This window comes from Homo sapiens, chromosome 8 (genome assembly GCF_000001405.40).
Source record: "Homo sapiens chromosome 8, GRCh38.p14 Primary Assembly".
NCBI classification, from domain to species: domain Eukaryota; kingdom Metazoa; phylum Chordata; class Mammalia; order Primates; family Hominidae; genus Homo; species Homo sapiens.
Window position 1 is genome coordinate 123368714 of NC_000008.11, and position 12131 is coordinate 123380844.

Below are 12131 nucleotides of genomic sequence, written 5' to 3' on the forward strand. Positions count from 1 at the left end.
AACTTAATGTGAAGATTAAATGAAACAATCTACGTAAAATGCTTAACACAGAGCCAGGACTACAGTAAACCCTGAGTCTAAGGTTGCTCTATTATTAAAGTGTGGAAAAATGGAATAAACTACCTTACTACGGTAGTTACTAACACCTCCTATTAGTGGAAGCAAAAGCAAAAACTAGTCAGTGGTACTGGGGATTAGACTACTAAAGGTATAGAAACTAAGCTCTCCCAAATACACAATTCTAGAATTTTATCCTAATACACCCAATCCTGAAAGTCTAGAGTCCAGCCCTAACATAAAAACAATTATGTTGTCATAAATCAATCACTATATCAGAACCAAACCTGTTCATTCGTTTACAGTAAGGACTTCTTGGTCCTGCGGAAGATAATCGGTATCTTGGTCTTGCAGGAGAAGCTGGGCCACTATAAAATATGTTGGGCTTTCTCTGGTGACGAGGTTCTAAAAAAAAGAAATATATATATATATTTGTATATATATATATATATGGCATACAAATATGTATGAAGATAATTTTGCTCTTCATCTAAATACTTACAAAGGTGCTTATCGCCTTCCATGAAGTACTAGTAAATATCTACTATGGAATATTTTGCTGTTCATATTTTAAGTCATTTATGTCCAGAGGGTTGCAGCTGATAACATGTATAGCACAGATACCAACCAACCAAAACACACACAGGCCATAAACAACCATTGTGACTGTAGAGATGTGTAACAGGTTGATTATCAGCCTTGTATATTAATGCTCACAAGTACTGTGGTATAATATTAACATAAATCAAAAGAAGTCCTATCTCTATACAAACTGACAAAATAAATTAAGTAGAAAGCTGTGCAGTCTAAAGTAAAGACAGATATAAAATTCAAAAATAGCCCAGTTATTTGCTTTGGTCAAGGCAAACATTTAACTTTCTTCAGAGAAATTATTTGTTACAAACTTAGGATAGGTAAAGACAACAGTAATGAGTATTCAACAAAATGAAAATATGAAAAATACCAAAAAGACAAGAATAACAGAGAAGAAACAGGAAATATAAAGCTAATATAATTACATCTCCTGGAAAGAGTATGTATAGCACTTACTTTCCAATGGAGCCTGATAGTAAACAGTAGCTTTTCTCTGTCTAAGATAATATCGCTTCTGATTCTCTTCTTCTCCATCTTCTTCATCTTCATCATCTTCATCATCATCATCATCATCATCATCGTCATCATCATCATCATCTTCATCATCTTCATCTTCACCATCATCTTCATGTTCTTGGTCTTCACCCTCTTCAGATGACTCTACAATTAAGAGATCCTTACTTCCAGAAAGATACTCAGCAAAATGTTAACAATTTTTAACATAGGTGAGTTGGGAGAGAAAGATCCACCCTTTTAAAACTTATCTACTCCTAAAAAAAAAAAAACAACAAAAAAAAACCAAACTTATCTACTCCTAGATTGTTCATGGGAAGTATTTGTAATTCTTTTCCAACATTAAAAAACTGCAGAAAAACACAAGGAAGGAAAAAAGGAAGTAGAGAAAGAAGTTTGAAGGCTACTGTTAAGCAAGCACCAAACTAAAATTTATAGTCTTTCCATGAATTTCATTAATGTAGGTGACTAAACTTAAGCTTCCAAGTTAACATAACTTTTTGACAAGTTTTCAAATTTCCTCATTAAGCTTTTGCTTTCTAAACTTAAGTTTGACATTTCACCCAGCCCATCTGGCTGTCATGGAGTTACACGCTGCATAACTCAATCTACTTATGATTATGGTAAAACATGCTCACCAAACATTTAAAATGCATTTCAGAAAACTGATTTTCACTTAAGATAAGTTCTAATAGATTATGGTAATTAAGTCCTAAATGGAATAGCAAAACATAACTTTAATCACCTTTAAACTAAAAAAGAGATATACAGTGTGTTGTCCATAGTGGATGTATTACATAAGCAGACCAATATTATTGGCTTTAGATTGTTGATTTCAGTTACTTTCCCAAACAAAACATACTATCCTCTTAAGCTCTCCCCTTTCCCCACTTTTAAGTTACCAATCCTCTGATCTCTCACAAACTACCATAAATGTCACACCTTCTAGCTAAAAAGGCTATTTTCTACTAAATAAAAAGTTCTTAAATTCAATCCCAGAAGACAGAACAAGAGAAGAGACTAACCCACACTGCCTTCTTGATTATCAGTTGTTTCTTCATCAGTTCTTTGAATATCTTTCTGTTTTCCTCTTGTGTACATATTAAGATTGCTCTAAAAATGTTTAAATAAAAGCCATTAACATTTGGAATCTATTTATTAAAAAAATTAAGTTGGATCCTCCAATCTTGTTTAAAATTAAGATATTTACAGCCATAAACTCTTACATTTCCAGCAGTAACTAATGACTGATCAAATAAATGCTGGAAAAAGTAGATATTTAATGAAAAATGGATTAGGTACTATAAAAAAATTAAACTGGATATTAAATCATTCCCTTAATGGAAGAATATATTTACTTCTTCTGTTTCATTAAACACTCCCAAGTCTTCAAGTTCTCTCATTCGCTGTCTACGCATCTTCTTCATGTCATCCATTTTTTGAAGTACAGCTTCAGCAGTGCTTTAAAAAAAAGATATAAATGTAAGTGAAAATTGTAAAAGAGTAGCAGAATTTTAAAAACTTTATTTTTCTTCCATTGCAAACTTTTGGCACTAAGGTTTTAAATATTTTTATAAGAAGCATTGATTTACTTGTATAAAAATATTTTAAAATTTCTTTCCAAGAATAGAGACATATACAGAATTGTCACAAAGACCTCTGATAATCATTCTCCTGTACGCTTTACGTAGTAGAATGCATTAAATGTTTGGGCTGGTTGAAATCCATGATTCCTCCCCAACAAAAAGTCTCTGACAGATAAATCATCTTGATCTAAGGAATTTTTACTTACTTAGTTATAAGTTTGTCAAACAGCATGGACTGGTTTACACCACTATAACGACTTCTAATCCTACAACTTCGACGCACTTCAACATCACCATTATCTTCATGTAAGTGTTCTGTACTTTGAACGATGTTTCTAGCCCTCAATGACCGAGTAACTGGAATCACTTTGTCTTCACAAATGCATACATAAAAATAAATAGAAACATTTGAAATAATAGTATTTATAAAACAATTCTAAAATGAACAATTGAAAAGCTATACTTTCATGTAACAAAATTACAGTATCTTAAACTTAGCTTTCTTAAAAACATCAGAAAACAAAAATAAAGTTAAAACATACACCTACCATAAGATTGAGCCCACCTACTCCCAGGAGAAGAGGAAAGATATGTAATACAAAGACTTGTACATGAATGTTCAAAGCAGCTTTGTGATAGCCCCAAACCAGAAACAACCCAAGTCCATCAAAAGGTGAAGAGATAAATTGTGGTATATCCATATAATGGAATACTACTCATCAACAAAAAAGTGACCACATGGATTCTCAAAGCAATTATGATGAGTTGCAAGAAGCCAAACAAAGAATAAATACTGTATGATTCCATTTATATAAAACTGTAGATAATACACACTAAGCTATAATAACAGAGAACAGATTCTAAAATGAATGGTCACGGCTATGTTCCAATGAAATTATTTGCTCAGGAAACTGGTGGGGAGTAGTGTCAAAGAGTGAGGAGAGAAGCTAGAAGAGCCAGGAGGAATTATAAAACGGCCCGGGGAAGTTTTTGGGGGTAATAATTACCTTCACTATCTTATTGTGGTGATGGCTTCATGGCATATACTTACGTTAAAACCTAACAAATTATACACTTTAAACATGTAAAATTTATTGTAGGTACCTCAAAAAACCTGTAAACAGAATATTAATTACACATTTTAAGATCTGAAATGACTTTAACAGTACTTACCTTCTCTGTGCTCTTCTTTTTTTTTATCAGCCTGCTGTCTGGCCAACTGCCTATATTTTAAAAAATTAGATTAATTCAAAATAATTGACATAACTTTATTTTTATTTATTTAGATGGGATTGCACTCCATCGTCCAACAGGAGTGCAGTGGCACAATCATGACTCACTACAGCCTCAAACTGCTGGGCTCAAGCAATACCTCCCACCTCAGCCTCCCCAGTAGGTAGAACTACACACCTCACTACATCCAGCTAACTTTTTTTTTTTTTTTTTTGAGACGGAGTCTTGCTCTGTCGCCCAGGCTGGAGTGCAGTGGCGCGATCTCGGCTCACTGCAAGCTCCCCCTCCTGGGTTCACGCCATTCTCCTGCCTCAGCTTCCCGAATAGTTGGGACTATAGGCTCCTGTCATCTCGCCCGGCTAATTTTTTGGATTTTTAGTAGAGACGAGGTTTCACCATGTTAGCCAGGATGGTCTCGATCTCCTGACCTCATGATCTGCCCACCTCAGCCTCCCAAAGTGCTGGGATTACAGGCTTGAGGCACCACGCCTGGCCGCTAACTTTTAACATTTTTTTGTAGAGATGGGGCGGGGGGGGTCTCGCTTTTTTGTCCAGGTTGGTCTTGAACTCCTGGCCTCAAGCAGTTCTCCAGTTCTCCCACCTTAGCCTCCCAAAGTGCTAGGATTATAGGTATGAGCCACCATACCTGGCTATAACTGACATAACTATTTCTTATATTCCATGATACTACAAACAAGACATAACTGTATTTCTTATATTCTATAATACTACAAACAAGACAAAAAGTTAAATCAGCCTGGAGAACAAATACTAAGATACCTAAAAACTTAAAATATACTGAAAAAAATAGGCCAGGCACAGTAGTTCACACCTGTAATCTCAGCACTTTGGGAGGTTGAGACGGGTGGATCATGAGGTCAGGAAATCGAGACCATCCTGGCTAACAGGGTGAAACCCCGTCTCTACTACAAATACAAAAAAATTAGCCAGGCATGGTGGCAGGCGCCTGTAGTCCCAGATACTCAGAAGGCTGAGGCAGGAGAATGGCGTGAACCCAGGAGGCGGAGCTTGCAGTGAGCCGAGATCCCGCCACTGCACTCCAGCCTGGGCAACAGAGTGACACCTCGCCTCAAAAAAAAAAAAAAAAAAAAAAATCTACTAAGCAAAACAGTATGTGCCATTAATTTGTTTTTAGTGACTCAATTTTCCATCCTTAGGCTGCATCTGTTAATCAACCTATGTATCAAGCTATTTGCAAGTGGGCTGGTTTATATGTGGAATTTCAAATATTACAACTTAAAGTAAAATAAAACCATCTTTCCCTGATGAGTTAACTTATATATTCTCATTAACAAAGTAAGTCTTCATTAATTCCTCATCTCTCTTGGAAGACAGGTAAGAATTAAGAAGAAAATAAAAACTTTTGGCTGGGCACAGTGGCTCATGCCTGTAATCCCAGCACTTTGGGAGGCCAAGAGTTCAAGACCAGCCTGGCCAACATGGTGAAACTCCATCTCTAGTTAAAAACAAACAAACAAACAAGCAAACAAAACCAAAACCAGTCAGGTGCCTGTAGTCCCACCTACTCAAGAGCCTGAGGCAGGAGAATCACTTGAACCTGGGAGGCAGTGGCTGCACTGAGCCAAGATTGCACCACTACATTCCAGCCCGGGTGACAGAGCACAGGGTCCATCTCAAAAACAAACAAACAAACAAACTTTTGAGTAGTTCATCTACAGGTAAAGGCTTAGTTTCTTCAAAGGCTCACAGACTTTTCTCATAAAGGAGCTCCTCCCTTCATACCATGTAGGTCTATACATTTTATAAACCAGGCCCCTTTCAGATGCTAGGAACAGAATGACTAAAGCACTATTTTTCTGAACCACCCACCCCTACTGTCTTCTTTTTGCCTGCAGGAGGAAAGCAACCTTCCAAGGGTTGGTAAACTTTTCCTTCAATTGCTATGCACTAAATATTTTAAGCTTGGAAGCCATACAGTCTCCTCTGTCACAGCTACCTAACATTATAGGGTGAAAGGAGCCACATACAAAATGAATGGGCATGGCAGTGTTCCAAGGAAACTATTTACAAAAATATGCAGCTGGAGTTTGTCAACCGCTGCAAATCTGATGAAAGCTACGGTATACGCAAGTTTAAACATTACTTCAGAGGTTTTGTGTACACTCTGCGAAGACTATACCTAATCACTGGACCCTAGTTAAGAACCCCAGGATCAAGTAAGTAAGTATGTAGATCGTACCCTCATGACACAGTTACTCATATCTTTCTGTCTTTTTCTAACAATCTTGATCCTCTGGTCTTTGAGCCTCAAGTAGATTGAAAACAAAGAGTAAAAAAAAGAATGGAAAGGAAGGAAATAAAGAGATTTCTATAGTCAGGCATGCTGACAACAGTGAAAAAGAAACAGGAAAAGTATATGAAAAAGGACTCAGAAATACTGTAGGCTCTTTTATATAAGCCTTATGCAAACAGACACTGATGTTACCATTACGTAAAATAATCATCACTATTTGTAATAATGACCTGAATGTAGGGAGAGGATTTTTGTACAGGAAATCTTCTTGACAGAAGACATACAAATGGCCAATAAGCACATAAAATGATGCTCAACATTATTAGCCATCAGGGAAAGGTAAATCAGAACCACAGTGAGATACTTCACACCTGTTAAAATGGCGAACACCAAAAAGGCAGACTATGACAAGTGTTGGTGAGGATGTAGAGACCCTCATACATTGGTGGTAGGAATGTAAAATGCTGTAAATGTTTTGGAAAAGTATGCTACTTCCTCAAAATGTTAGTGTTAGTATTTGACTCAGCAATTCCACTGCCAGGTGTATACCCAAAAGAACTAACACCTACCTCCACATAAAAATGTGTATACCTACATTCATATCATTATTCATAATGGCCAAAAAGTAGACAATCCAAATGCTCACCAACCAATGAATGAATAAACAAAACATGGTATATCAATACAATTGACTCTTATTCAACAATAAGAAGTACTGAGCCAGCCGCAGTGGCTCACGCTGTAATTCCAGCATTTTGGGAGGTCAAGACGGGTGAATCACCTGAGATCAGGAGTTCAAGACCAGCCTGGCCAACATGGTGAAACTCCATATCTACTAAAAATACAAAAATTAGTGGCTGGGTGCAGTGGCTTATGCCTGTAATCCCAGCACTTTGGGGGCTCAGACAGGTGGATCACAAGGTCAAGAGTTCAAGACCAGCCTGGCCAAGATGGTGAGACCCCGTCTCTACTAAAAGTACAAAAATTGGCTGGGCGTGGTGGCGGGCACCTGTAATCCCAGCTACTCGGGAGGCTGAGGCAGAGAACTGCTTGAACCTGGGAGGCGAAGGTGGCAGTGAGCCAAGATTGAGCCACTGCATTCCAGCCTGGGCGACAGAGCAAGACTCCGTCTCAAAATAAAAAAAAAAATTAGGCTGGGTGCAGTAGCTCATGCCTGTAATCCCAACACTTTGGGAGGCCTAGACGGGCAGATTGCCTGAGGTCAGGAGTTCGAGACCAGCCTGACCAACATGGTCTCATCCTGTCTCTACTAAAAATAGAAAAATTAGCTGGATGTGGTGGCGGTTGCCTGTAATCCCAGCTACTTGGGAGGCTGGGGGAGGAGAATCTCTTGGACCTGGGAGGCAGAGGTTGCAGTGAGCCGAGATTGTGCCATTGCACTCCAGCCTGGGCGACAAGAGCAAAACTCTGTCTAAAAAAAAAAGCTGGGCATGGTGGCACATGACTGTAATCCCAGCTACTCAGGAGGCTGAGTTAGGAGAATTGCTTGAACCTGGGAGGCAGAGGTTGCAGTGAGCCAAGACTGAACTCCAGTCTGGTCAACAGAGCAAGACTCCATCTCAAAAAAAATACACACACACACACACACACTAAAACCATGGAATTGTACACTTTAGAATTGTGAATTGTATGGTGTATAAATTATATCTCAATAAACTGTTATTAAGAAATAATTAATATGGCCAGGCACTGTGGCTAGCACCTGTAATCCCAGCACTTTGGGAGGCTGAGGCAGGGGGATTGCTAGAGTCCAAAAAAGTTCAAGACAAGCCTGGGTAACATGGTGAGACTCCATCTCTACAAAAAATTTAACAATGAGGCAGGGTGTGGTGGCTCACGCCTGTAATCCCAGCACTTTGGGAGGCCAAGGCAGGCAGATCACTTGAGGTCAGGAGTTCTACACCAGTCTGGCCAACATGGTGAAATCCTATCCTCCTAAAAATACAAAAATTAGCTGGGTGTGGTAGGGCATGCCTGTAATCCCAGCTACTCAGAGGCTGAGGCAGGAGAATCACTTGAAGCCAGGGGGCGGAGGTTGCAGTGAGCCACGATTGCGCCACTGCACTCCAGCCTGGGCAAAAAGAGTGAGACTCCGTCTCAAAAAAAAAAAAAAAAAAAAAGAGCCAGGTGTGGTGGTGCAAACTTGCAGTCCCAGCTACTTGGGAGGCTGAGGTGGGAGGACCACTGGATCACTTGAGCCTGGGGGGTTGAGGCTACTGTGAGCCATGATCATGCCACTACACTCCAGCCTGGGTGACAGAGCAAGGCAATATTCTCAAAAAGAAAAAAAGAATTAATAAAAAGGATAGAAATTCAATATATTTTAGAAATAATCTAATTAAAAATACCAAGTCATTCCTCTTTAAATCCAGATCGAAAGCATTTATTTTATTATACTCCCTTAAGACCTTTCTAACATAAAGCCAAACAATGTTTTATAAACTTGAATAATGTACAGATCCTTTTAAAGGTAAAAACAGGACTTCCAACATTAATTTTTTTGTATGACTATGTAAACCAAACTAAATAGAAGTTCATCTATAAGTTTTATACAAATAAAACTATAAAACCATCAATAAATATTAATGTAATAAGGGGTTTTGCTAAAATGAAATAACCATTTGGTGTATGAATGTGGTATTGACTGCTATCAGTTTCTCTCGAGTTTGGCATGTTGTGTACCATAATTGCTATATATACTGCTGTGTACCACGATGGGGCAACTCATCCACTTCTCTTTATTGGAAATGTGCCAAACATTCATTTAAATAGTATGTCATGCTACCACATCATATTGCCTTTCATACAGAAGCAGATGCATCATTTATGTATTCAGGTCTGATTCTGTTCTTATCTCATTAATCTAAGATAACTAAAGTAGTACTACTTGATGCCAATTCAACTGTAAACACAAATGTATGGCCTCAAATTTTATGGCAATTCTCTATAAGGTAACAATTTAGGGGTCCTAAAATGCTTATTTTTTTCTTCAGATCGTCAAAAACAATTTTAAGTTCTCAGAGACAGTTAATGGACCACTACCTTACCTCAGAAGAATAAACCTTAAGACTTCAAATTTCAGAAATATCAGGCTGGTTTATATTGTACTTCATCAATTCTAAAAGTTGTACGTTTCTCCCCATTTTAACATCTCTGAAATTGGAATGTGTCTTACTGATGGCACCTCACAGTTTACTGTCAGTGATTTTCTTTTTTAGTGTCCCATAAACATTGTCATGTAATTGCTGATACTATGGATTTCATAAAATACAGTATAAAACACTCCATAAATAATGGATAAGACGCAAATTAAAAAATATGTATTAAAAGAATGATGAAATAGCTGAGAAAAAAATTAAAAACTCAAAAGGGCATAACCTTGCTTATCTAGAAAATATGGTATACAAAATAAGAGAATCAAAATTCCAGGCCAGCGCAGTAGCTCACACCTGTAATCCCAGCACTGTGGGAGGCTGAGGTGGGTGGATCACCTGAAGTCAGGAGTTCGAGACCAGCCTGGCCAACATGGCGAAACCCCATCTCTACTAAAAATACAAAAATTAGCTGGGCATGGTGGTGCGTGCCTGTAATCCCAGTTACTAGGTGAGCTGAGGCAGGAGGATCGCTTGAACCTGGGAGGCGGAGGTTGCAGTAAGCTGAGATCATGCCACTGCATTCCAGCATGGGCAACAGAGCAAGACTGTGTCTCAAAAAAAAAAAAAAAAAAAAAAAATCAAAATTCCATTTAAGAGCAGGAGGATTTCAGTCTTCTAAGTCATTACAAATTGTTTATTTATGAGAAGAAGTAATGTAAAAACGATTCTTTTTTTTTTTTGAAACAGGGTCTCACTCTCAGTGGCATGATTATAGCTCACTGCAGCCTTGACCTCCCCAGCTCAAGTGATCCTCCTGCCTCAGCCTCCACAGTAGCTGGGACTACAGGTGTGCGACACCATGCCCAGATAATTTTTTTATTTTTATTTTTTGTAGAGAGAGGGTCTCGTTATGTTGCCCAGGCTGGTATCAAACTCCCCGACCGAAGTGATCCTTCTGCCTTGGCCTCCCAAAGTGGTAGGATTACAGGTGTGAGCCACAGTGCCCAGCCAAAACAATTATTTCATCAAACAAATTTTACCCTAATTGGGGTTTTTCGCCCTGAACCAAAGATATTCCAGTTCCATGAATTTAGCCAAACTACCTAATCCATTAAAATTGATTTCTTGAGTTTAAAATGGGTTTCATGCCTCCTCTTCTAAAAACCAAAAAACCGTATGTACAGACTGCTTTAGAAATACACCAACACCAACACATAGAAATTCATAAATGACTCAGAATTGATAAAAAACTTTATAGCAAGCAATCAGAAACAGAACTACGATTATGAATGAAGGCTTTGTATAGACTATGAAGTGGAGCCATAAACCACAAGCTAAGTTATAGTCACAAAAGGTCTCTTTAGATACTCAAATACCTGAGAACTGATCCTACGTCAGCTAACCTTGTTAGCTGTACTCATATGTATCACAGGTATCATCTTTGAATAATAAAAGCATGAATGTGTACATACTAATTTTTTTTTTTTTTTTTGGAGATGGAGTCTTGCTTTGTTGCCCAGGCTAGAGTACAGTGGCACGATCTTGCCTCACTGCAATCTCTGCCTCCCAGGTTCAAGTGATTCTTCTGCCTCAGCCTCCCGAGTAGCTGGGACCTCAGGTGCATGCCACTATGCCCAGCTATATTTTTTAAATTTTATTTTTAGTAGAGATGGGGTTTCACCATATTGGCCCGGCTGGTCTCAAACTCCTGACCTCGTGATCTGCCTGCCTCGGTCTCCCAAAGTGCTGGGATTACAGGTGTGAGCCATTGCGCCCGGCCACGTATTATTATTATTATTATTATTTTTTTTTTTTTGAGACTGAGTTTCGCTCTTGTTGTCCAGGCTGGAATGCAATGGCATGATCTCCGCTCACTGCAACCTCCACCTCCTGGGTTCAAGTGATTATCCTGCCTCAGCCTCCTGAGTAGCTGGGATTACAGGCATGCGCCACCATGCCCAGCTAATTTTGTATATATTTTTTTGAGACAGTCTCGCTCTGTCGCCCAGGCTGAAGTGCAGTGGCGCGATCTCAGCTCACTGCAAGCTCCGCCTCCTGGGTTCACGCCATTCTCCTGCCTCAGCCTCCCGAGTAGCTGGGATTACAGGCGCCCGCCACTACACCCGGCTAATTATTTGTATTTTTAGTAGAGACGGGGTTTCTCCATGTTGGTCAGGCTGGTCTTGAACTCCTGACCTCAGGTGATCTGTCTGCCTCGGCCTCCCAAAGTGCTGGGATTACAGGTGTGAGCCACCGTGCCTGGCCACGTATTAATTTTTAATTTAGTCATACTCACTTGTGATCATTTATTTTCAAATAAACTACATTTTATAGCCCTAGAACCTTGATGACCAGTCAAAAATACACTTCAAAAATTAAAGCAAATCCTAAATTACTGCTTTAAAACTATTTTGAATTAGTGTTCAACCACCTTGTATTACCTTGTAAAATGCCTGCCATTAGCAAGTTGCTCCGTTATTTCCACATTCTTCTCAAAACTAGAATCTGAAGAATTCTGTGCATCTTTTCTCAAAGATCTTAAAGCACGTGTCCGGTGGTAGGTTTCAACTTCCTTAACTGATGACCCATCCTTTAAGAAAAATTAAGAAAGCCATCTAAGTTTTTCTTTACAAAACTCCAATTTAAATTCCTCCAAAGAGTATTCTCTGATTACAAGTTAGTAAAAACTGCTTTTTGTGCAGAATCATTTTGTATCTCCCCAAGAAACTACAAGTTAGTATCTAGAAAAACCATTTC

At 38.7% G+C, this 12131-nt stretch overlaps 1 protein-coding gene across 6 annotated transcripts in view; it reads right to left on the bottom strand.

Annotated features, from left to right (window-relative positions):
- Nucleotides 1-12131, bottom strand: part of ATAD2 (ATPase family AAA domain containing 2) — a 96501-nt gene that overhangs the window by 48864 nt on the left and 35506 nt on the right. For all 6 annotated transcript variants that reach the window (XM_047421723.1, XM_047421722.1, XM_011516994.4 and 3 more), the window contains 7 exons: nt 11816-11964; nt 3924-3973; nt 2957-3122; nt 2523-2625; nt 2190-2277; nt 1108-1311; nt 345-462 (listed from right to left, as the gene is read on the bottom strand). In XM_047421723.1, coding sequence (XP_047277679.1) covers nt 345-462; nt 1108-1311; nt 2190-2277; nt 2523-2625; nt 2957-2982 — 539 coding nt within the window. In that variant the 5' untranslated portion in view covers nt 2983-3122; nt 3924-3973; nt 11816-11964. The remainder of the gene's footprint in view (nt 1-344; nt 463-1107; nt 1312-2189; nt 2278-2522; nt 2626-2956; nt 3123-3923; nt 3974-11815; nt 11965-12131) is intronic.